The sequence below is a fragment of the Homo sapiens genome, chromosome 2 (genome assembly GCF_000001405.40).
Source record: "Homo sapiens chromosome 2, GRCh38.p14 Primary Assembly".
Lineage (NCBI taxonomy): Eukaryota > Metazoa > Chordata > Mammalia > Primates > Hominidae > Homo > Homo sapiens.
The window spans coordinates 148,188,409-148,214,434 of record NC_000002.12 but is presented as its reverse complement, the minus strand read 5'-3'; the positions used below and the strand labels follow the sequence as shown (position 1 = coordinate 148,214,434).

At 37.3% G+C, this 26,026-nt stretch overlaps 1 protein-coding gene across 26 annotated transcripts in view, besides 1 other annotated feature; it reads right to left on the bottom strand.

Moving 5' to 3' along the window:
• MBD5 (methyl-CpG binding domain protein 5) overlaps nucleotides 1–26,026 on the bottom strand; it is a 496,045-nt gene that overhangs the window by 302,537 nt on the left and 167,482 nt on the right. The window lies entirely within an intron of this gene.
• Nucleotides 24,640–25,343: an enhancer, noted in NCBI's record as "NANOG-H3K27ac-H3K4me1 hESC enhancer chr2:148946661-148947364 (GRCh37/hg19 assembly coordinates)". NCBI's record gives its function as "activates a minimal SCP1, AML or CMV promoter by ChIP-STARR-seq in naive H9 embryonic stem cells {active_cell/tissue: H9 hESC(naive)}" and the evidence as "EXISTENCE:reporter gene assay evidence [ECO:0000049][PMID:30033119]".

The following is a 26,026-nucleotide window of genomic DNA, read 5'->3' as shown; positions in this document are numbered from 1 at the left end:
TTTTATATTGCCTGTGTGAATTGTTTTTACATTTTTAAATGGTTCAAAACATGCTAAAAGAGGAAAGATATTTGACAGCAAAAAGTTACATAAAATTCAAATTTCAGTGTCTATAAATACAGTTGAAACACAGCCATGCTTATTTATGTACTGCCTATGGCTGCTTTCACACTACAAAAGCAAAGTTGAGTAGCTCCACAAAGACCTGGGTCTCAAGTCCTAAAATATTACCGTCTGGCCTCTTGCAGAAAAAATTTGTTGGCCTCTCACCTAGAAGGTCACAGAGTTAATGTTAAAGGCAGTAATAACATCTGTTTAACTTATAATTTTAAAAATGAGTAAATGCATAGTTATTTAAATATTTCTTCCCTTTAAAATGGAATGATTTGAAAGCACCTGAGGCAAATGAATGAATATCCTAGAGGCCTAAGAAGCATGTTCACATCTTAGCCACTCAGTCAGTTGATCACTTGGATGACCTCTAGACATCATGGTATTTTTTGTTAATATACAGGTTTAAATTATTTAATTCTCAGTCTGACATTTTAAAATTTACTGACTCACAGATTGCTGGCTAAAGACAGAATAAAAAAAAAACAGTTGGTGACATATAATTAATGAGAAGCATAAACATTCTTTGATGTCTATAAATTTGCCTCAAGATGACCATCACCATATCAAAAAGTTGTATTTATGTAGTTAAAAGGGGTAAGTCTCAAATACGTTAAAAGTCTGTGTTAAAAGAAATTTGGTGATGATCAAATCCAAAATTTTCTGGTTTAGAAATTAAAATCAGTTAATTTAGAAAGAATAAAATATAAAAAACTCTAAAATGTAACATCATAAACACAGTTTTGCATGTACTTTTGATGCGGCAACTTAAATTTACTTTTCAATATCCACCTAAATACTAGTTTGGCCTCAAAGTCAAATACTGTTTAAGTATCATCTGACTTTTATAGTTACTGTTGTTAAGTCCTCCTATTCCCTGCTCCCTGCCCCATACATAATTTAAAGTAAAATAAAAGCAGATCATTTACTAAAAGTGAGAATGTTTTAATGTCTTTATTATGCATATTAGCTTATATTTAAAATAAATTTAATGATATAATTCTTGACAATATAGTTTCTCAAATTTTTGTAGCTAAAAAATAATAACATCCTTTTTTGAAAATCTTAAGGTTTACCTCCTAAGAAACATTGAGGAACACTATACTAAAGAATAGGGAAAAAATTAAGTGATAATATTATTCATACCACTTGTTCATCATTATTTTTTCAGCTAAGAGATGAGTACAACTCTTTGCCAGCCACTATGGAAGAAAGCCAAGAGAAAAACGGCAGTTCCTGCTTTCAAAGAGCTTACTGGCTGGTGGCTGGAAGGAGACGAGTACAAAGATTGATAAGTTCTCTGACACAGGTAAAGTAAGCCACTGTTATCATGTAGAATAAAGATGAACTCAGTTTCTGGTGGTGAGAACAGAAAAGAACGAACAAATAGGAACTATTAATAAGGTAAAACACACTGGGCATCCTGACCAATTAGATGAGGGAAGAAAGATAGAGAATTAAAATTGTTGTCAATGAGATGCCTTATATTTAGAGATATAAAGAGAAGAAAGAAAGGGTCTAGTGAATGTTTACCTAGAAAAAATGAATATGCTAAAAATTTTCCTCTAGAGATGACCAAATCCTCTTCCTTCTTAATTTCAAGTTATTATAAAAAATCCCTCATCCAAAACCTTTGGAAAATCACAGTGTTTTAGAACTAAGAATTTTTTAGAGTTTTGAAAGGTAAGATTAAAACATACAAAAATTAAAACATACACATATATACATACACACACCTTTTTAATGTCTAAAATACACGTCAAAGACTGCTCTATACCAAACTATAATTTCAGGCTTTTTATCATTGATGATTGATAGTGATTCAAAAAGAATGGACTCTAAGTACCTGATGAATAAATAAAATGCAGTACTGTATATCTATATAATAGAACATTATTTGGCTATAAAAAGTAATGGAATTCTGATATATACTGCAACACAGATGAGCCTTGAAAACATTACCATGAGTGAAAGAAACAAAAGGCCATGTATTGTATGATTCCACTTAAATGAAACATCCAGAATACGCAAATCCAAAGAGACAGAAAGTAGACTACTGTTTGCCAGGACTAGGAGTTGAGGGAAATAGAGTAGGAAATGGATACAGGGTTTCTTTTTGGAGTGAGGAAATGTTCTAGAATTGAACAGTAGTGAATGATATACAACACTGTGAATATACTAAGAAGCACTGGATTGTACAATTTAAAATTTTCAACTTTATGACATGAATTATATCTCAATAAAGCTGTTCTTTTCTTTAAAAAACAGTGGGCTGGGCATGGCATGGTGGCTCATGCTTGTAATCCTAGCACTTTAGGAGGCCAAGGCAGGAAGATTGCTTGAGTCCAGAAATTTGAGACCAGCCTGAGCAACATAGTAAGACCCTGTCTCTACAAAAAATACAGAAAAAAATTAGCTGGGCATGGTGGCACACACCTGTAGTGCAGCCACTTGGGAGGCTGAGGTGGGAGCATCGCTTGTGCCTGGGAGGTTGAGGTTGCACTGATCCATGATTACACCACTGCCCTCCAGCCTGGGTGACAGAGCGAGATCCTGATTCAAAAAAGAAATTCATATTTTTTTATCTCGTGAACATGCACATTTTAAAGTATTTAAAATAAGCCATCAAGATGAGTTATTGTAGGGATGTACTTGTTTGTGACTTTGAATAGCCACATGGATCTTGTAAGATCCACTGGAAAAAAAAATTGTAAAAGAGTTCCTCAGATACTTCATATTTTAAAATAAATATAATCATGGAACATCTATAATTAGTATGAATAAATAAACACAGGAAAATAATCAAAGAACAAGTCTGGGCCACAGTGTGCTTATTCCAAAAAATATAACAAAAATCGAAAATTTCAATCAAACGCTGAAAGTAGTTTTAAAGAGTTAATCTTGCAGTTTTCTCTGAGTCCAAAGTTTACATTCTTTTTATACCAAATGAAGTTAGGAATGTTTATAAATGAATTCAAAGCTACTACAATAGGATCACTGTGAACTATGGCTTCTGAAAACTGAAGAAAATGTAAATTTGAAGATCCAACTAGAAAAATGAAAGAATGAAGAAACTGGAAACTAACTTTGAACAACCTTCAGCTTTAACATGTAAAGGATAATTCACAGAGAAAAAAAGAAACAAAGAAAGAAAGGGACAGCAAAGTCCCCCTAAATCTATCTCAATTCATTTGCGTCCTAGACTGATGTTGTATTAGGCTTAAGCATAAAATATTACTCAATAAAACTTATAAATTGGTTTGCTGATTCACGTATGAAAATATGCTGAATGATCCCTTCCACTGGCAGATTACAGCTAGTTAGCAATGGATAAGGAGAAAAATTTACTTCAGCAGATTGGGAAAGTCTACACTGAATTTACAATCACATAATCTTCTCTTATACATACATATAAAAAGGGAACTATCTAAAGACAGGATTTTTTTAAGATCTTAAGTAATCAAAACTAGATACAACTGAAAGTTTAGTAGAAGTGAAAAAAGTATATATGTAACAAAAAATCAGCATACTTTCTTTAATATTCATAGAAAATAAATTAACAAGATAAAACGTTTACATTACCAATGTTTATATAGTCATCTAAGTTATTTTTTATAATTTGTGTGTTTTCTTCAGGTTAAGCAATATAAGTAAAATAAATGGGTAAACTTTGATTTATAATATAATAAGATGATTACTAGATTCTAACATATGACATGAGCTAAATTTAAGCAGCTCCCAATATTTACCCTAATATGTGGTAAATCACAATTTTTAAAAATTGTTATTGTTTTGGCCTATTAAGATAATACAAGTTTAATATTATTTAAAAAGTTTAACAATATTAAAAAAGTATAAAATATAATTGGATCTGTGTAATTTAGCAAAATATGAGCTTGCCAGTCATTTTATAAGACCTATTATCTCTTGAACAATATAATAAATGAGGTATGTTTGAGGTATTCAAAAAAAAAGAATTAACCAGTTTTTTTCTAAATGGTACATCCTTAACATTGGAGGTAGAAAGGGGTAGGGTATACATAAATGAAGATAATTTAGTAGTAGCAACTGGTTTGTATGAAAATCAGCCTGTAAGTCTTATTTAAAATGTAGGAATTAGGCTAATGCTTGTAGCTCTAAATAAGTAGTTTTATGGCTTTTCTTTGTGAAATGAAAATAAAATTAAGATCTATTATGTAACATACTGTGATCAAAAAGTATTTGTTAGGCTTCCTAAAGTCCACATTAGAATTTTAGTTGGAACTAAAAAGCAATGAAAAACAAATGCCTTCCTCCAAGAGGTAGTAGTTTCTATTTTATATGTGTTTGATGTGTTTGGATATTTGTCCTCTCAAAATCTCATGTTGAAATGTAATCTTCACTGTTGAAGGTGGGGCCTGGTGGAAGGTGTTTGGATCATGGGGACAAATAGCTAGCTCATGAATGGCTTAGTGCCATCCCCTGGTGACAAGTGAGTTCTCACTCTGAGTTCATGTGAAATATGGTTGTTTAAAAGTATGTAGCACCTCCCCCCGCCCCTTGCTCCTCCCCTCACCATGTGACATGCTTTGCCTTTCACCATGGTTGTATGCTTCCTGAGGCCCTGATAAGAAGCCAAGCAGATGTTGGTGCCATGCTTATACAGCCTGCAGAACTGTGAGCCAATTAAATCTTTTTCCTTTATAAATGCCAGTCTCATTATTCCGTTATAGCAATGCAAAAATAACCTAACACAGTGTCTTAGTCTGAGCTTCTATAACAAAGTGCCTTACACTGGGTAATTTATTAAAAAAAAAAAAAGAAAGAAAAAAGAAGTTTATTGCTCACAGTTCTGGGGAATGGGAGGCCCAAGATCAAGGAACTGGTAGATTCTGTGTCTGGCAAGAGCCTGTTCTTCATAGATGGTGCCTTTTTTGTGTCCTCAAATGGCAGAACAAGTTTCCTTGGGCCACTTTTATAGTGGCACTAATCCCATCATGAGGGATCTGCCCTCATGATCTAATTGGCCCCTAAAAGTCCCACCTCGTAACATTATTGCATTGGGAATGAGATTTCATCATATGAATTTTGGGTAGACAGAAACATTCTGACTAGAGTACTAAGTAATACACAAAACTACAAATCTCAAATAACACAATGAGATATATAATAAAATGATCATATGTAGCAAATTCAGTTGTATGCTCCTATGTCAACATAATCAGTTTTAGAATGTAATTTAAAAACTATCTATTCATGGTAAAATCAAAATGAAAAAGTTACAATATATTATGCCAATGCCAATGAAAAGACAGAAGTAATAATGAAAGTTAAAAATAACATTTGGATTTGAAAAAATGTAGTATCACATATAACGGTGTTTAATCAATCCCATGTGAAAACATAACTAGAGACAATTAAAATACAATTTGCTTCAAATAAATTCCTTTGATTATAATTTATAGAACAGAGGTATTTGATGATACTATTTCTATTCATTTTATAATTCATGGAAATATTTGCTTTGCTATAAAAGTTAATTTTAAAGTTTCTAAAAAAATAAGTAGTTGAAGAGAAAAGCTGGGGAATGAAGAGTCCCTTAAAGTAACCATCAGGTAAAAGTAATCTATAAAAATAATTGTAATAGTCAAGTGATGTTTACAGGCAACCTTGGAAAAAAAAAAAAAAAGAACAGATAACCAAAAATGAAAAAGGCAGCAAGATCACAAAATTGTTTCCAGCCACACATTTCACCTAAAAGAGATGAGCAGTCATATAAAGTAGGTATAGCCTGGCGTGGTGGTTCACACCTGTAATCTCAGCACTTGGGGAGGCCGAGGCAGGCAGATCACTTGAGGTCAGGAGTTCGAGACCAGCCTGGCCAACATGGTGAAACTCCATCTCTACTAAAAATTAAAATAAAATTGGCCTGGCATTGGAGCGCATGCTTGTAGTCCCAGCTACTTGGGAGGCTGAGACACCAGAATCTCACTAGAACCTGGGAGGCAGGGGTTGCAGTGAGCTGAGATCATGCCACTGCACTCCAGCCTGGGCAACAGAGTAAGACCCTATTTTCAAAAAATAAAATGAAATAAAGTAAAATAAAATAAAAGTAGGTATATAGGGGAAACAAACACAAGGTAGAGTGTCCTTATTCCATGTTTTCTAGATTGAATAATATACAAACTACATAAAATCAATTGATTAACTAATCTTAATAATAATTCCCCAGCAGCATCCAGCAGAAGCTGGAAGAGGTAAGAAACAGCTTATTCTTTAGAAGGAGAATGGCTCTGCCAACACACTGGACCCACTGGATTTGGGTCCAGTGATACTGATTTCAGACTCCTGGCCCCTAGAACTATAAGAAAATAATTATTTTTTGCATTAAGACACCAGGTTTGTGGTAATTTGTTACAGAAGCCACAGGACACTAATACACAAACAACATGCTTTAGGGTGCTAGGGCTTAACTGAAAGTTATTTTGGTATACATGAAAAGTTATCTATATGAACATATATTAATGTCATGCCATATATCTTAGGGAATTTATTTGTGATAGTTAGTTGATTTTATTTTGGGTGATGAACGCAGGTATATAATCGTGTCATCTACACCCAGGGGTTTAACGTCATCTTTTTTTTTTTTTTTCCTAACTTCTAGTATCTCTCTCAGCTGGCTCCCTTTAGTACAATGTTAAATAATAGTCACGCCAGTGGGTATCTTTGCAATGTTCCTGACTTTTGCACAAATGCTTCCAGTGTTTCCTCATTCTTCCACCATCTCCCACCCTCGAATGATCTGTTATGGACTGAGGGGACAATTAGTAACTTTTCCAAGTCTAGTGGTGTTGTAACCGAGTAACCTATTTTTAAGGGTTTTTTTTTTGTCCTTTTTTTTTCTTTTTTACTTCCCTCCCTTATTTGGTGCCTGTTTCTTGTTAATAATAAAATAATGACCTTTACTCTCCTTCTTTCCCCCAGGCACTCCCTTGCACTGCTCACTTATCTAATTATGTCTGCTTAGAAGTTTCTGTGATTGAATCTTGAGACAATCCAGGTACCTATGCAATTTTCTCCCAACAAGAGATTATGTGAGTGTACAGTTAATTTACAACCTATATATGCTCAAGATAATGCTAGCCCATTTACCAGATTGGACAATAGCACATAATAAAGCACTGAAGCAAGTTACGTGGTCCTGTACCTCCTTGCCCCTCCTGCACATCCTTCATACCAAATTTCACTTTTAACTTGTTGTATTCTGGCCAAAAATTTGAAATGGTTTCTTTAAGGCAGGAAGTCTAGACCATTTCCCCAATGCTACTTTGGAAATAAAGTCACTTTTCTTCCACTGAACTTTGTCCTTGTAATTTGGTTTTGCAAACAGCAAGCAGCTGAACCTGTATTCAGTGTTTCTGACTATTTTCAATGGTACGTGCATTGTCTTTCCAATTATTGATGCCATGCTATTTAACCTGTAGATATTCATAACTGCTTCATCTTCATGTGTATTCACAATGAGACTGTGTTCACCTCACTTAACATTTTTGTTGACTGAATTTCTCTGGTCTAATATAAATACCTTGCTTACCTTTATCTGGCTTTTCATCTTTATGTTTTGACATTTATAAGATACTTTATTGTATCTTTTAAACATATCAGAGAATAGAGTGCTCTATGATTTGGTCAGAAATCTACTTTTTAAAAAGTGAGAGGTTGGGAAGGCAGTGGGGAGGGGAGATGGAGAGAGACTGGTTAACGGGTACAAAAATACCATTAGATAGAAGGAATAAGTTCTAGGGTTCAATAGCAAAATAGGAATATTTTGTTGTATATTTCAAAATAGCTAGAAGAGAAGGTTTGAAATGTTTCTAACCCAAAGAAATGGTAAACATTTGAGGTGGTGGATATCCCAATTACCCTGATTTGATCATTATTCACTGTATACATGTATCAAAACATCATATGTACCCCATAAATGTGTATAATTATGTTTCAACAAAACATGTTTTTAAAATCCACTTACATTAATTTTTCTCTTGGCTGATTCCCCTTAGTAAAATGTTAAATGATAATGTGACAGTGGGCATCTAACAGAAAGAATTGTTCTTCATTCTGTTATTTTGTTTTCTCTCTGTATACATATATATGCGTGTGTATATAATATATATGTCTACATATACAAGTGTGTGTGTGTCTCTCTATTTTTTTTTTTTTTGAGACAGGGTCTCACTCTTGTTGCACAAGTTGGAGTGCAGTGACGCGATCTCGGCTTGCTGCAACCTCCACTTCACAGGCTCAATCAATCCTCCCAACCTCAGCATCCCAAGTCACTGGGTCCACCAGCTAATTTTTGTATTTTTTGTAGAGCTGGGGTTTCGCCATGTTGCCCAGGGTGGTCTCGAACTCCCGGGCTCAAGTGATCCTCCCACCTCAGCCTCCCAAGTCGCTGGGATCACTGGCTGATTTTTGTATTTTTGTACAGGCAGGGTTTTGCCATGTTGCCCTGACTGTTCTCAAACTCCTGGGCTCAAGGGATACGTCTGCCTTGGCCTCCAACAGTGCTGGGATTACAGGCATGAGCCATTGCAGCCTGCCTATTTTCTACATATTTTTAAACAAAAATATCATTGGTACTGTTTATCCTATTTTTCTCCATGGGTAATTTCTCTGTATCTTTGTTCCAGTGGTTATGTTTATAATTTTATGCAACTTTGTTTTTACAAATAAACATGTAATTTATATCTGTCCTTATTTCTGTATTCAAAATCTATTAGTTCACTGTTATAAGCAATTATAATATTTGCATGCTTTCTATTACTCTGCCCTTTTTCTTTCATTCATCATATTTCAGTTAATGTTTTTCACTATTTTTCCTTGTATTGTTAAATTATGCTGATACTTTTATTTTTTGTCAGCTTTAATTGATATTCTTTGACTTCCAAGTATTAAAGATGAGAAAATTAGTCCACGCCTGTAATCCCAGCAATTTGGGAAGCCAAGGTAGGCGGATCACCTGAGGTCAGGAGTTTGAGACCAGCATGGCCAACATGGTAAAACCCCGTCTCTACTAAAAATACAAAAAAATAAAAATAAATTAGCCAGGTGTGGTGGGGGGTGCCTGTAATCCCCAGCTACTTGGGAGGCAGAGGCAGGAGAATCGCTTGAACCTGGGAAGTGGAGGTTACAGTGAGCCGAGATTACGCCACTGCACTCTAGCCAGGGCAACAGAGAGAGACTTGTCTCAAAAAAAAATAAAATAAAAATAATAAGACAATTGTAAAGACTGGGGAAAAAAAGTGGAGAAAACAGGTAGAAGTGGTATATTTTTAGGGAATATATTTTATTTTTAGGGAATTTTAGTAAACATTTTATATTTATATTTATATATAGTGTCTACATTTTGTTCTTTAGCTCTAATTCCCACATTTTAGTCTTTCTTTTACAGTTAAATCCTTTCAATGCTTGCTGACAGACCTTCTATGATAATTTTCCTGTTTATTTATATCTGATTGGCAGTAGCTCATTTTCTAAGAATGTTTTCAAAAAGTATTTCTTGAGTTCAAAACTGTCTTTATATTTGTTGAGTTCAAAACTGTCTTTAGTATTTAAACTTGAAGACATTTGGGCTAAATTTAAAATATTAAACACTTTCCTTTCTATAAGATCCTGTAGCTGTTACTCCACTGGCAACTGGTACTAAATGTTGATGTGGATAAGACAGACACAAGTCTGACTTTTTCCCCTTCTATTATTGACCTGACTATTCTTTCTTCATGTTTAATGTACAGAAATTTTATGAGGACATGTCTCAGTATTGACAGTTCTAGGTCAACTTTCCCTGGTCCATGGTATGCTCTTTCAATATGTAGATCAAAATTATATTTTAAATTATTATTGAGTCTTATCTTTAAATAATTCATTCTTTTCTACTCTTTTGGTTTTCTTTTGTGTCTTTCTCTGTCTCAGTCTATCTATATACATTCACAAAATTTTATTTCTAATCTTTTTTTTCTTTGGTTTATTTTATTCATTCTTCACATTTTAATCCACAATATTCCTTAAGGTGCTTTCCATGATGTCTAGCCTTTCTTGTGCTCCTTCCAATTTCATATTTGAAATAAATCCTTTTTTCCTAAGTTTGGCCAGCTCATAATTCATCTTCTACTATTGTTTCATGATGTCTTTTCCAGAGTCCTTGCTTTCTGGATTGTAGGTTTTTCCAACAAAGGTGATTGCTTTATTCATTTTTTCTCTTCTCTTTTCTCCCATTCTTTCCCTCTCTCCTTTTCTTTCTTCCTGAAGAAAGTTAAGCATTATATTTTCAGCAAAATTAGAGTTCAGGTTTGACCCTTATACTCTAAAATAGGCAAAAGGGGATGCAAAATTAGAAGGAGCCACATGAAAATACATGAACAGAAGCAGTCTTGGAGAAATTTATCCATGGTAAAGGGCTCTGCAGTGTAGATCCAAGAAAATGATGTCCACAATCTATTCTCTGATCGTACACATAACATACCTTATGTTGCTACAGGTATTGCTTATAATCACAAGTATGGGAACAAAGGTGAGATGAGTTGTCAGCAGAATCTTGCTAGACTCAGCTTTAGAGAAGCATAAAAGACAGGGCTACATAAAGGATCCACAGACAAGCCATCCTCATAGGAAGTATTTTGTTTCTGTTGCAGCGGAGATTACCTTCTTGTGAAGACTTGCAAAATTGCAACAATAATGTGAACCCACCCTTTCCTTGACCCTCCTTCCTAATGCACACGCACCTCTTGAAAATAGGTAGCTAGGTAAAACCATTATATTCTGTCATGAGCAACAGAAGAAGAACAGTAGTAATAACAAAGATAATTCAGGAAAAGAATAAAAAGAATAGCAAAACACACAGACATCAAGCGAGCACTAGAAAAATGTCATCAGAGTGCAAGGGAATGGGTGGAAAATTATTTTTACAGGTTTATTAGCCATTTGCATTTCTTCTCTGATAAACTGCATTTTCAGGTCTTTTATGCAAATAGGCCATCTTTCCCACATTTAATTGTTACAACTCTTTGCATGTTAAGAAAATCAGCATCTTCTTTGTTGCATGTACCAAATATTAGTTCCCAGGTTTCCTTTTAATTTCATTAGTGCCTTTTAATTTCATTTGTGAACTTTCCTAATCATTAAAAATTGTTATGGTAAAAAATTAAAAATTCATTAGTTTACAGCTTTTTTTTTTTTTTTTTGAGATGGAGTCTCGTGATGTTGCCTGGGCTAGAGTGCAATGGCGCGATCTTGGCTCAGTGCAACCTCCACCTCCCAAGTTCAAGCGATTCTCCTGCTTCAGCCTCCTGAGTACCTGGTATTACAGGTGCCTGCCACCACATCTGGCTAATTTTTTTGTATTTCTAGTAGAGACTGGTTTCACTATGTTGGCCAGTCTATTTTACAGCTTTTAAAGAGTTGCTTTTTATTATTTATTTATTTAAGAGATGGGTTCTCACTATGTTGGCCAGGTTGGTCTCGAACTCCTGACCTCAAGTGATCCTCCCACCTCAGCCTACCAAAGTGGTGAGATTACTGGCATGAACCACCACACCTGGCCTAAAGAACTGCTTTTTAAACAAAAAAGTTATTTACCATTGAAGTTACCTCTAAAAAAATCCAATATATGTTCCAAAGATGTTTTAAATTTCTCAAATCACATCAATCCCAAGTGCAAAACTCACTAATAGTTTCTCTTTGTGATTAAAATTAAACCTAAATTTTTAATTCTTTAATATGATCTATAAGCCCCTTACATTTCTGGCCTTGTAATCCCTTCAACCTCATTTCAAACCACTCTTTCTCCCACTTTCTCCATACCAGCAGACTAGATTTCTTGTTGAGCCTCAAGTACAATTGTTTTTGCTGAATCAACAGTCTTTACATTTGCTGTTCCATTCTGCTGCCTAGGTCACTCTTCTAGACATTGCTCACCACTTCCATCAACTTGGAAGTTTCTGCTTGAATATCACTACCTCAGGGAAGGCCTCCCTGACCACTTTATCAAAATAGGACTTCCAATTCCAAACCCAATTACCTTCTATCTATTTACCATGCTTTATTTTTCTCTTTAGAACATATCATATTTTGAAATTATATTATGTAATTATTTACTTGTTTATTGTTTGTCTTCCCTAATAAGGTAGTAAGCTCCATGCAGGCAAGGACTCCATCTCCTTCACTGTTTATGCCAGCTCCTAGTGATAGTGGCAGGAGGCAGTCAAATGCCTAGGCAGATAGAGGCAGGGCCAGTGAAACCCAACCTTCAAGCCAATGACAGTTTAAAGCCTAGCTACAAATCTCAGGTAAATCCAAGGACCGGACTGAGAACTTCTCTTCCTGTTTGGCATGCTTTCCTCCGATTCATCCCTACCCTTCACTTATTTTACATGTACCTACCCTTTCCTAATTTGTTTTCTACACTGTTGTGCCCCTTGAGCCTTTGTTTTAGCCTTTTTTGCATACTCACAAACCAATCAGCACACACTCCCCCAGTCTGAGCCCATAAAAGCCTCAGATCCAGCCACACTGAGAGAGAAACCACCCAACTTCAGGTGGGGGACCACTCTTGCATCCCCTCTCCACTGAGAGCTGTTTCGTCACTTAATAAAATTTTTCTCCACCCTTCTCACCCTTTGATTGTCAGCATAACCTCATTCTTCTTGGATGCAGGACAAGAACTTCGGACCGACTGAACGCGGGTACACAGAAGGCTGTAACACTGTGGCCCTCTGCCAGCAGAGGGCAGCCATCCCATATGACAAGAAGCAGCAGCAAGGCCAAGGCAGCCCTGGAGGTGCAGGCTAGAGCAGGGCAACCGGGCTGACAGAGTTGTTAAGGCGCCTCTGTCTGTCGGGCTGCAGACAATGGGACTAAAAGAGGTCATTAGCATGCTGTAACATCCCCCTCTGGGGCTTCAGGGTCGTGGGTACCCCTGCTTGGGTGTCCCTGTGTTTCCCTCGTCCGGAGACCAGAGCCCACTGTGGGAGTCACTTGCAACACACCTGGTCCAGGAACAAGCCCCATGTGGAGCCCACTCTTGTGCCAGTGCTTGGAATGGCCAGCCAGACCCTGCATTCACTGGCACACACATCTCCTCCTGCCAGGGACTGAGCACGCAGTTGCAGGAGCCGTGGGATCCATGCTGGGGGGCAAGCCAGGCATGGCCTGGTGTGTCAAGTAAACAGGGCATCTCCTGTGGCAAGCCCAGGCCTGAGCAAGGCCTGGGGAGGGGCATCATTGGCCAGAGGTCTCCGGTTGGCAAAGTAATCAAGAAAAATACTGCATCTCTAGAATAATCCCTGGCAGATGGTTGGTACACAACTTTGCTTTATTTTTAAATGAATGAATTAACAAATAAATAAATGGATCATGTTTCCAATGATGAATTTTAAAAAAAGTTTTAAAGCAGCTTTTTAAAAAAGTGCCTTAATAGGTTAAAATAAAGTATACAAAGGCCAACTATTTAGATCAGAAGAACTTCTTTAGAAGTTCTTACATTTAAAGTGTTCCTTAATGATGTGCGAAGTATTTTTAAAAGTCATCAGTATACGTATAATGTCTTTTTTTTTCTGTGTTGAAACCAGATTACATTTCTTTTTTTTTTTTTTTTTGAGATAGAGTCTCGCTCTGTCACCCAGGCTGGAGCGAAGTGGCGTGATATCGGCTCACTGCAAGCTCTGCCTCCTAGGCTCACGCCATTCTCCCGTCTCAGCCTCCCGAGTAGCTGGGACCACAGGCGCCCGCCACCATGCCCAGCTAATTTTTTTTGTAGTTTTAGCAGAGATGGAGTTTCACTGTGTTAGCCAGGGTGGTCTCAATCTCCTGACCTCATGATCTGCCTGCCTGGGGCTCCCAAAGTGCTGGGATTACAGGCATGAGCCACCGCGCCCAGCCCCAGATCACATTTCTGTTCAAAAACAACTTAAGTCTGAATTAGACTTGCTTTTAAGTGCTACATTTTTATAAAAACTGGATTGTATATCTACAAACTCTTTGAGAAAGTACCTCTATTAGATTGCAAAAACCCTGCCTCGGTGTTGCGTAGTTTCTAGTGTGGGCAGACAATAAATATGTAGATTACATATGCATTAGAAAATTTAAATCTTAGGGGGGAAAAAGAAAGCAAGGTAAGGGGGGGACTGCAATTTAAAATAGAATGGTCAGAGTAATTCTTACTGAGGAAGTAACATTTGAGCAAAAGTTTAAAGAAGGTGAGGAAACTATCAATATAGTCAAAATAATGCACTTCAGATTGAGGAGGTAATTTTAAAAGAGGATATGCAAACGATTAAGGAATTTTTCTATCATAAGATAAATGTACAGCTTCCTAAGATGATTATTTTGGAAGACTTAACATTCATTTGGATGGCATGATGTAGTAGTTTAAAAATCAAATCACTTTATTTCTTAGTCATACTTTGTATACCGCATATGATAGTTTCTTTTTGTAGAGAGACACTCATAGGATATATGTTATAGAGAGCTGGGATAATAAAGAAATCCATGACATTTATATTGAAAACAAATCTTTTCTTTTTTTTTTTGAGACAGGGTCTTACTCTGTCACCCAGGCTGGAGTACAGTGGCGCAATCTTGGCTCACTGCAGCCTCAACTTCCTGGGCTTAAGTGATCCTCCCACCTCAGCCACTAGGGTAACTTGGGACCACAGGTATAAGCCACAATGCCAAGCTATTTTTTGTAGAGATGAGGTTTCACCATCATGCCCAGGCTGGTCTCAAACTCTGGCCTCAAGTGATCCATCCACCTCGGCCTCCCAAAGTGGTTAGATTATAGACATGAGCCACCGTGCCTGGCCATCTTTTCCCTTTCAACATATTAGTTTATTCATTTTATTTGTTTATTTATTAAAGGCCACAATTTAAAGAATGACTTAGTATTGAAGTGCTGAAATGTATTAATATGAAAATTACTGTTAAAAGTCTGCCATATTATTTGCCTTTGTGATGGTTAGTTTTCTGCCCCAATTGGATAGGCTAGAGTACCCGGTTATTCAGTTAAACAATACTGGGGTTAATACCTACAATCAGCTGACTTTAGGTAAAGGAGATTATCTTCCACAATCTGAATGAGCCTCATCTACTCAGTTGAAAGGCCTTAAGAGCAAAGCTGAGATATACTTGAAGAAGAAATTTTGCTTCAAGACTGCAGGATCAGCTCCTGCCCGAGAGTTTTCAGCCTGTGGCCTTCCTTACAAATTTAATACTTGCCAGTCCCTTAGTTGCTTAAGCCAATATCTTGAAATAAATTTCTATAAATGTACATATACATGCATAAATACATATATGATATATTCATATATATATAATATACACAGATATATACATATACACATACATACATATACACATACATACATATATATATTCCCCCCTACTGTTTCTCTGGAGAACCCTGAACAATACAATCCTCCTCTTAGACCAGATTAGAAGCTACTCTAGGAAAGTCATCATGTCCTCTTATGATCCCTGTGTTTAATATAGCTCATAGCACGATGCTTTCTTGATGGAATAATTTATAGAAGAATATTTTAATTTCATAGGTAGATGGAATGTACTTTTAACCATTAAGAAGCAGAAGTTATCATATGAACATTTATAAGCTTTTTTCCTTGCCATTTCATTATAAATATTTATAACTTTCATAGAATGAAATCAAAAGATAAGAAAAATGACAATAAAAAATAAAACAAAGTGCTTATATCTAATATATATGATGAACTTACTATGAAAACATGTAAAAATCACTGTAACTCATCTATAGGAGAAAACCTAGACTTATTTATTGTTCTTTATATATTATGATATCATAATATATAAAACCTCACCAAATGCTTTATGTACATTATTTCCTTTACTCCTTGTAACAACCTGAAACAGGTAATTTTTGTATTCCCATTTACAGAGGAAGCCAATGCACAGAGACATTGAGAAACAAAGGTAGAAATTTGGTGGTAGAGTTGTCTTGGGACCATTAGAACTCAGGTAGTTGTGGTGATAAACATGTTGGATCTACAGACACATACGAAGGCAATAAAAAAGATGCAATCTTGATAGACATTAAATTCAAATCAAAACAATTATATTTCCATTTTATGTTTTAGTGAAAAAAAGAGGAAAATGTTAATAGCTATCAAGACTCTGGAGAAAAAATCTGTATTGATTATGGCATTCATAAGTTAGTGTAGCCAGTCATTAAGAATTTCACTTTGGGAGGCTGAGGCGGGGAGATCACCTGAGGTCAGGAGTTTGAGACCAGCCTGGCCAACATGGTGAAACCTCATTTCTACTAAAAACACAACAATTAGCTGGGCATGGTGGTGGGTCCCTGTAATTTCAGTTTACTCTGGAGGCTGAGGCAGGAGAATCGCTTGAACCCGGGAGGTGGAGGTTGCAGTTAGGCGAGATCATACCATTGTACTCCAGCCTGGGTAAAAAGAGCAAAACTTTGTCTCAAAAAAAAAAAACAAAAAAAAAAACAAAAAAAAAAACCTCAGATGCTATGACACAGTAATTCTACTCCAAAGAATAGTGCCTAAGGAAATAAATAAAAGAAAGAAAACACTAAATCACATATAACAGCAAAATGTTATAAGTAACCTAAATGTTCAAGCACAGAAGAATGAAGCATCATACTTTATTAATAGAATACGTAACCATTAAAATAATGAATATGGAGAAGGGTTTCCCAAGTTAAGTTCCATGGAATATAGAACTAACATGCTCTTTGCAAAGTGTATGCTATATGATCTTGGAGACCATTACACACATTAGCACACTGAAGGCTTTCTTGCAGGAAGGAAACTTCCTTTGCTGTTCTTTAATGTGGTACTTTCCAAACTTACCTGGAAACAGAACCTTTTTTTGTCCTAATTAATTACTGCTGCATAACAAACAATCATTAGTTTGTTTAAAAATTTAGGCAGAGTTCAGCAGGGATAGTTTGTCTCTGCTCCACTTGGTACCAGCTGGGGCACCTTTAAGGCTGGGAACTGAAATCGTCTGAAAACTTGCTCCATCACATGCTTGGTGTGGTTGCAGCCTCTCACGTGGCTCAGTCTTCCTCACAATATGGGGACTGGGATTTCAAGGGTGAGTATTCTGAGAGAGATCCTAGCAGAACGGGATTGCCTTTTATGCCTAAGCCTTTGAAGCTACCTAGAGTCACTTCCACCATATTCTATTGGTCAAAGAAGCCAAATTTCAGGAGGAGGGGAAATGGAATCTACCTCTTGATGGGAGAGTATAAAGAATATAAAGAGCATGTGGGATCTGGAATATTTCTGTAGCTGGTTTTGGCAAATATAAGTTGCCATACTTTTGTTCAAGTGAGATATATTAATTTTCCAATTTTGGCACATGTGGATGGAGGTACACCAAATGCTATACAATCTATATTACATACAGATTTGTTTATACACACACACACACACACCAGTGCAAATGGCACCCCCACTCCCTTTGCTTATAAAAGAGCCTACTTTGTCTGACACAATAAAATAATCCCAAACATGAATGAATTAGGCAATTTTCATTCAAATTCATAGAAAATAACAAGAGGAATCATGGCTAGCTCTGGCTCACGGATTTCCCATTTGGTAAGCTAGGTTACCATATGATCTACATTCTTGCATTTCATAAAAGACACCAAGTTTTAAAGATACTAAGTCATACTGTTATTGCTGATGACAAAAATTTTAATTTTACATAGAAGAAATAGACACAAATGGAGATGTACCTATTTTGGTAAACACAATTCTGAGTAACAAAGCTTACCTAAGAGATTGATTCTTTTAATACCAATGTCTTCTGGAATTTTCTTTCTTATGAAAGGGACTCTTTCAGAATGCTTCCCTCATATAGTTATAGGCATTACATAAAGGAAACCATTTTTTTTTAGTAGTGGCACAAAAATATTTTAAAATAGCTACTTCTAATTACCTACACTAGTCATAACAGATTACGGCAATATAAATGAAACCGTAGTGGAAAGATCTAACATCCATGGAAATTTAAAACAATGAGAAATGGAACTATTACAAAAAATTACCTCCTATACATTCTTTCTCAAGAACTTCCTGGAGGACTTGCTCCAAAAAATGAGACGGCAAATTAAGGAAAAAAACAAAAGATTAAGAAACATGAGTTTCAACATAGGAGAAAGGAAATCGTCATGTAAGAGGATAAGTGATACCAATGATACCTGTGCAAAGATAACAGCCAGGCCAGACTGCAACAAGTTGTTACTCAGCTTGAGGGCTGTCATCATCAAGATCTCCCACCTGCTATTTTAATGACTTCCCATCCATTCCTTATGTTATTTCCTTGTTGTTGCCTTGTTACTTTGGTTAGTTTAATTTGCTTTTATTTTTAAAATTACAAATTTCTTTCTAAGCCATGTGTTAGTTGCATTTTACATTTTATGTTGTGGTTTCATCACAATTCAGTTCAAGATATTTTCTAATTTCTCTGGTGAATTTTTTCTTGACGCATAAGTTTAGAAGTGTGCTGTTTAATTTCCAAATATCGAGAGGTTTTCCTGCTTTTTTGGTATTGGATTATAACTTAATTCTGTTTTGTTCAGAGAACATACTCTGGATGACTTCAATCTTTAAAAATTTATTGATTTTCATGGGCCAGCATATGTTCTATCATGATTAATGTTCTATACACAGTGAAAAAAATGTGTATTCTGTTGTTATTAGGCATATGTTCTACAAATGTCAATTCGGTCAGGTTAGTTTTTAGTGTTGTTGAAGGTTTCTATTTTCTTATTGGTTTCTGTTTACTTGTTATAACCATTTATGGGAGAGGAAGGTTGAAATATCTAACTATAATTGTGGAATTGTCTATTTCTTCTTTCAACTCTTACCAGTTTTTGCTTCATATATTTTTAAGATCTATTGTTAAGTGGATATACATTTAGGAGAATAAATCCTCTTGAACTATCTTATTATAAAATTTCCTCTTTATCTCTGTTAAAACACTTGTCCAGACATATACTTTTTCTCATATTATTTTAGCCACCTTGACTTTCTGATTATTAGTGTTTGCATGGTATATTTAACACATCCTTTAACTTTTAACCTACCTGTGTTTTTATATTTAAAATGCACTCCTTCTATTTAGTATAGCAGGAGTCTACCCCCTATATCTAACCCCCTACAAAAAGCCAATTGCTTATTTTGCAAATAAAGTTTTATTGGAACATAGACATACCTACTTGTTTACATTTTGATCTCTGATAAGAGAGTTGAGTAGTTGTGACAGAAACAGTATGGACCTTAATCTTAAAATAGTTATAATGTGTCCTTTTAATAAAAAGTTTGCCAACCCCTGGAGTTGTTTATTGGGTTTTTATCAGTCTGATGAAAACAAAAAAGCCTTTTAATCTGAGTGTTTCAACAATTTATACTTAATATAGTGATGATATAGTTGGTTCTAAGTTTAGCACCTTGCTATTTGTTTTCTACTTATTCCATCTGTTCTTTCATTTTTTTTTTTTTTAATTTTTTTTTTTTTCTTATTATACTCTAAGTTTTAGGGTACATGTGCACATTGTGCAGGTTAGTTACATATGTATACATGTGCCATGCTGGTGCGCTGCACCCACTAACGTGTCATCTAGCATTAGGTATAACTCCCAATGCTATCCCTCCCCCCTCCCCCGACCCCACCACAGTCCCCAGAGTGTGATATTCCGCTTCCTGTGTCCAAGTGATCTCATTGTTCAGTTCCCACCTATGAGTGAGAATATGCGGTGTTTGGTTTTTTGTTCTTGCGATAGTTTACTGAGAATGATGGTTTCCAGTTTCATCCATGTCCCTACAAAGGACATGAACTCATCATTTTTTATGGCTGCATAGTATTCCATGGTGTATATGTGCCACATTTTCTTAATCCAGTCTATCATTGTTGGACATTTGGGTTGGTTCCAAGTCTTTGCTATTGTGAATAGTGCCGCAATAAACATACGTGTGCATGTGTCTTTATAGCAGCATGATTTATAGTCCTTTGGGTATATACCCAGTAATGGGATGGCTGGGTCAAATGGTATTTCTAGTTCTAGATCCCTGAGGAATCGCCACACTGACTTCCACAATGGTTGAACTAGTTTACAGTCCCACCAACAGTGTAAAAGTGTTCCTATTTCTCCACATCCTCTCCAGCACCTGTTGTTTCCTGACTTTTTAATGATTGCCATTCTAACTGGTGTGAGATGACATCTCATAGTGGTTTTGGTTTGCATTTCTCTGATGGCCAGTGATGATGAGCATTTCTTCATGTGTTTTTTGGCTGCATAAATGTCTTCTTTTGAGAAGTGTCTGTTCATGTCCTTCGCCCACTTTTTGATGGGGTTGTTTGCTTTTTTCTTGTAAATTTGTTTGAGTTCATTGTAGATTCTGGATATTAGCCCTTTGTCAGATGAGTAGGTTGCGAAAATTTTCTCCCATGTTGTAGGTTGCCTGTTCACTCTGATGGTAGTTTCTTTTGCTGTGCAGAAGCTCTTTAGTTTAATTAGATCCCATTTGTCAATTTTGGCTTTTGTTGCCATTGCTTTTGGTGTTTTGGACATGAAGTCCTTGCCCACGCCTATGTCCTGAATGGTAATGCCTAGGTTTTCTTCTAGGGTTTTTATGGTTTTAGGTCTAACGTTTAAATCTTTAATCCATCTTGAATTAATTTTTGTATAAGGTGTAAGGAAGGGATCCAGTTTCAGCTTTCTACATATGGCTAGCCAGTTTTCCCAGCACCATTTATTAAATAGGGAATCCTTTCCCCATTGCTTGTTTTTCTCAGGTTTGTCAAAGATCAGATAGTTGTAGATATGTGGCATTATTTCTGAGGGCTCTGTTCTGTTCCATTGATCTATATCTCTGTTTTGGTACCAGTACCATGCTGTTTTGGTTACTGTAGCCTTGTAGTATAGTTTGAAGTCAGGTAGTGTGATGCCTCCAGCTTTGTTCTTTTGCTTAGGATTGACTTGGCGATGCGGGCTCTTTTTTGGTTCCATATGAACTTTAAAGTAGTTTTTTCCAATTCTGTGAAGAAAGTCATTGGTAGCTTGATGGGGATGGCATTGAATCTGTAAATTACCTTGGGCAGTATGGCCATTTTCACAATATTGATTCTTCCTACCCATGAGCATGGAATGTTCTTCCATTTGTTTGTGTCCTCTTTTATTTCCTTGAGCAGTGGTTTGTAGTTCTCCTTGAAGAGGTCCTTCATGTCCCTTGTAAGTTGGACTCCTAGGTATTTTATTCTCTTTGAAGCAATTGTGAATGGGAGTTCACTCATGATTTGGCTCTCTGTTTGTCTGTTGTTGGTGTATAAGAATGCTTGTGATTTTTGTACATTGATTTTGTATCCTGAGACTTTGCTGAAGTTGCTTATCAGCTTAAGGAGATTTTGGGCTGAGACGATGGGGTTTTCTAGATAAACAATCATGTCGTCTGCAAACAGGGACAATTTGACTTCCTCTTTTCCTAATTGAATACCCTTTATTTCCTTCTCCTGCCTGATTGCCCTGGCCAGAACTTCCAACACTATGTTGAATAGGAGCGGTGAGAGAGGGCATCCCTGTCTTGTGCCAGTTTTCAAAGGGAATGTTTCCAGTTTTTGCCCATTCAGAATGATATTGGCTGTGGGTTTGTCATAGATAGCTCTTATTATTTTGAAATACATCCCATCAATACCTAATTTATTGAGAGTTTTTAGCATGAAGGGTTGTTGAATTTTGTCAAAGGCTTTTTCTGCATCTATTGAGATAATCATGTGGTTTTTGTCTTTGGCTCTGTTTATATGCTGGATTACATTTATTGATTTGCGTATATTGAACCAGCCTTGCATCCCAGGGATGAAGCCCACTTGATCATGGTGGATAAGCTTTTTGATGTGCTGCTGGATTCGGTTTGCCAGTATTTTATTGAGGATTTTTGCATCAATGTTCATCAAGGATATTGGTCTAAAATTCTCTTTTTTGGTTGTGTCTCTGCCCGGCTTTGGTATCAGAATGATGCTGGCCTCATAAAATGAGTTAGGGAGGATTCCCTCTTTTTCTATTGATTGGAATAGCTTCAGAAGGAATGGTACCAGTTCCTCCTTGTACCTCTGGTAGAATTCGGCTGTGAATCCATCTGGTCCTGGACTCTTTTTGGTTGGTAAACTATTGATTATTGCCACAATTTCAGAGCCTGTTATTGGTCTATTCAGAGATTCAACTTCTTCCTGGTTTAGTCTTGGGAGAGTGTATGTGTCGAGGAATGTATCCATTTCTTCTAGATTTTCTAGTTTATTAGCGTAGAGGTGTTTGTAGTATTCTCTGATGGTAGTTTGTATTTCTGTGGGATCGGTGGTGATATCCCCTTTATCATTTTTTATTGTGTCTATTTGATTCTTCTCTCTTTTTTTCTTTATTAGTCTTGCTAGCGGTCTATCAATTTTGTTGATCCTTTCAAAGAACCAGCTCCTGGATTCATTGATTTTTTGAAGGGTTTTTTGTGTCTCTATTTCCTTCAGTTCTGCTCTGATTTTAGTTATTTCTTGCCTTCTGCTAGCTTTTGAATGTGTTTGCTCTTGCTTTTCTAGTTCTTTTAATTGTGATGTTAGGGTGTCAATTTTGGATCTTTCCTGCTTTCTCTTGTAGGCATTTAGTGCTATAAATTTCCCTCTACACACTGCTTTCAATGCGTCCCAGAGATTCTGGTATGTGGTGTCTTTGTTCTCGTTGGTTTCAAAGAACATCTTTATTTCTGCCTTCATTTCGTTATGTACCCAGTAGTCATTCAGGAGCAGGTTGTTCAGTTTCCATGTAGTTGAGCGGCTTTGAGTGAGATTCTTAATCCTGAGTTCTAGTTTGATTGCACTGTGGTCTGAGAGATAGTTTGTTATAATTTCTGTTCTTTTACATTTGCTGAGGAGAGCTTTACTTCCAACTATGTGGTCAATTTTGGAATAGGTGTGGTGTGGTGCTGAAAAAAATGTATATTCTGTTGATTTGGGGTGGAGAGTTCTGTAGATGTCTATTAGGTCTGCTTGGTGCAGAGCTGAGTTCAATTCCTGGGTATCCTTGTTGACTTTCTGTCTCGTTGATCTGTCTAATGTTGACAGTGGGGTGTTAAAGTCTCCCATTATTAATGTGTGGGAGTCTAAGTCTCTTTGTAGGTCACTCAGGACTTGCTTTATGAATCTGGGTGCTCCTGTATTGGGTGCATAAATATTTAGGATAGTTAGCTCCTCTTGTTGAATTGATCCCTTTACCATTATGTAATGGCCTTCTTTGTCTTTTTTGATCTGTGTTGGTTTAAAGTCTGTTTTATCAGAGACTAGGATTGCAACCCCTGCCTTTTTTTGTTTTCCATTTGCTTGGTAGATCTTCCTCCATCCTTTTATTTTGAGCCTATGTGTGTCTCTGCACGTGAGATGGGTTTCCTGAATACAGCACACTGATGGGTCTTGACTCTTTATCCAACTTGCCAGTCTGTGTCCTTTAATTGCAGAATTTAGTCCATTTATATTTAAAGTTAATATTGTTATGTGTGAATTTGATCCTGTCATTATGATGTTAGCTGGTTATTTTGCTGGTTAGTTGATGCAGTTTCTTCCTAGTCTCGATGGTCTTTACATTTTGGCATGATTTTGCAGCGGCTGGTACCGGTTGTTCCTTTCCATGTTTAGCGCTTCCTTCAGGAGCTCTTTTAGGGCAGGCCTGGTGGTGACAAAATCTCTCAGCATTTGCTTGTCTATAAAGTATTTTATTTCTCCTTCACTTATGAAGCTTAGCTTGGCTGGATATGAAATTCTGGGTTGAAAATTCTTTTCTTTAAGAATGTTGAATATTGGCCCCCACTCTCTTCTGGCTTGTAGGGTTTCTGCTGAGAGATCCGCTGTTAGTCTGATGGGCTTTCCTTTGAGGGTAACCCGACCTTTCTCTCTGGCTGCCCTTAACATTTTTTCCTTCATTTCAACTTTGGTGAATCTGACAATTATGTGTCTTGGAGTTGCTCTTCTCGAGGAGTATCTTTGTGGCGTTCTCTGTATTTCCTGAATCTGAACGTTGGCCTGCCTTGCTAGATTGGGGAAGTTCTCCTGGATAATATCCTGCAGAGTGTTTTCCAACTTGGTTCCATTCTCCACATCACTTTCAGGTACACCAATCAGACGTAGATTTGGTCTTTTCACATAGTCCCATATTTCTTGGAGGCTTTGCTCATTTCTTTTTATTCTTTTTTCTCTAAACTTCCCTTCTCGCTTCATTTCATTCATTTCATCTTCCATTGCTGATACCCTTTCTTCCAGTTGATCGCATCGGCTCCTGAGGCTTCTGCATTCTTCACGTAGTTCTCGAGCCTTGGTTTTCAGCTCCATTAGCTCCTTTAAGCACTTCTCTGTATTGGTTATTCTAGTTATACATTCTTCTAAATTTTTTTCAAAGTTTTCAACTTCTTTGCCTTTGGTTTGAATGTCCTCCCGTAGCTCAGAGTAATTTGATCGTCTGAAGCCTTCTTCTCTCAGCTCGTCAAAATCATTCTCCATCCAGCTTTGTTCTGTTGCTGGTGAGGAACTGCGTTCCTTTGGAGGAGGAGAGGCGCTCTGCATTTTAGAGTTTCCAGTTTTTCTGTTCTGTTTTTTCCCCATCTTTGTGGTTTTATCTACTTTTGGTCTTTGATGATGGTGATGTACAGATGGGTTTTCGGTGTAGATGTCCTTTCTGGTTGTTAGTTTTCCTTCTAACAGACAGGACCCTCAGCTGCAGGTCTGTTGGAATACCCTGCTGTGTGAGGTGTCAGTGTGCCCCTGCTGGGGGGTGCCTCCCAGTTAGGCTGCTCGGGGGTCACGGGTCAGGGACCCACTTGAGGAGGCAGTCTGCCCGTTCTCAGATCTCCAGCTGTGTGCTGGGAGAACCACTGCTCTCTTCAAAGCTGTCAGACAGGGACACTTAAGTCTCAGAGGTTACTGCTGTCTTTTTGTTTGTCTGTGCCCTGCCCCCAGAGGTGGAGCCTACAGAGGCAGGCAGGCCTCCTTGAGCTGTGGTGGGCTCCACCCAGTTCGAGCTTCCCGGCTGCTTTGTTTACCTAAGCAAGCCTGAGCAATGGCGGGCGCCCCTCCCCCAGCCTCGTTGCCGCCTTGCAGTTTGATCTCAGACTGCTGTGCTAGCAATCAGCGAGATTCCGTGGGCGTAGGACCCTCTGAGCCAGGTGTGGGATATAGTCTCGTGGTGCGCCGTTTCTTAAGCCGGTCTGAAAAGCGCAATATTCGGGTGGGAGTGACCCGATTTTCCAGGTGCGTCCGTCACCCCTTTCTTTGACTCGGAAAGGGAACTCCCTGACCCCTTGCGCTTCCCAGGTGAGGCAATGTCTCGCCCTGCTTCGGCTCGCGCACGGTGCGCACACACACTGGCCTGCGCCCACTGTCTGGCACTCCCTAGTGAGATGAACCCGGTACCTCAGATGGAAATACAGAAATCACCCGTCTTCTGCGTCGCTCACGCTGGGAGCTGTAGACCGGAGCTGTTCCTATTCGGCCATCTTGGCTCCTCCCTGTTCTTTTATTTTTAATGTTGTCTTCTTTTGAAATGATTGATTTTTTTTTTTTTTTTTTTTTGAGACAGGGTCTCACACTGTTGCCCAGGCTACAGTGCAGTGGCGCAATCATGGCTCACTGCAGCCTCAACCTCCTGGGCTCAAGTTATCTTCTCATTTCAGCCTCAGCCTCTGAGACTACAGGTTTACACCAGTATGCCTGGCTAATTTTTTAATTTTTTGTAGATACAGGGTCTCATTATGTTGCCCAGGCTGGTCTCAAACTCCTGGACTCAAGTGATCCTCCTCCCTTGGCCTCCCAAAGTGTTTACTTACAGGCATTGGCCATCATGCCT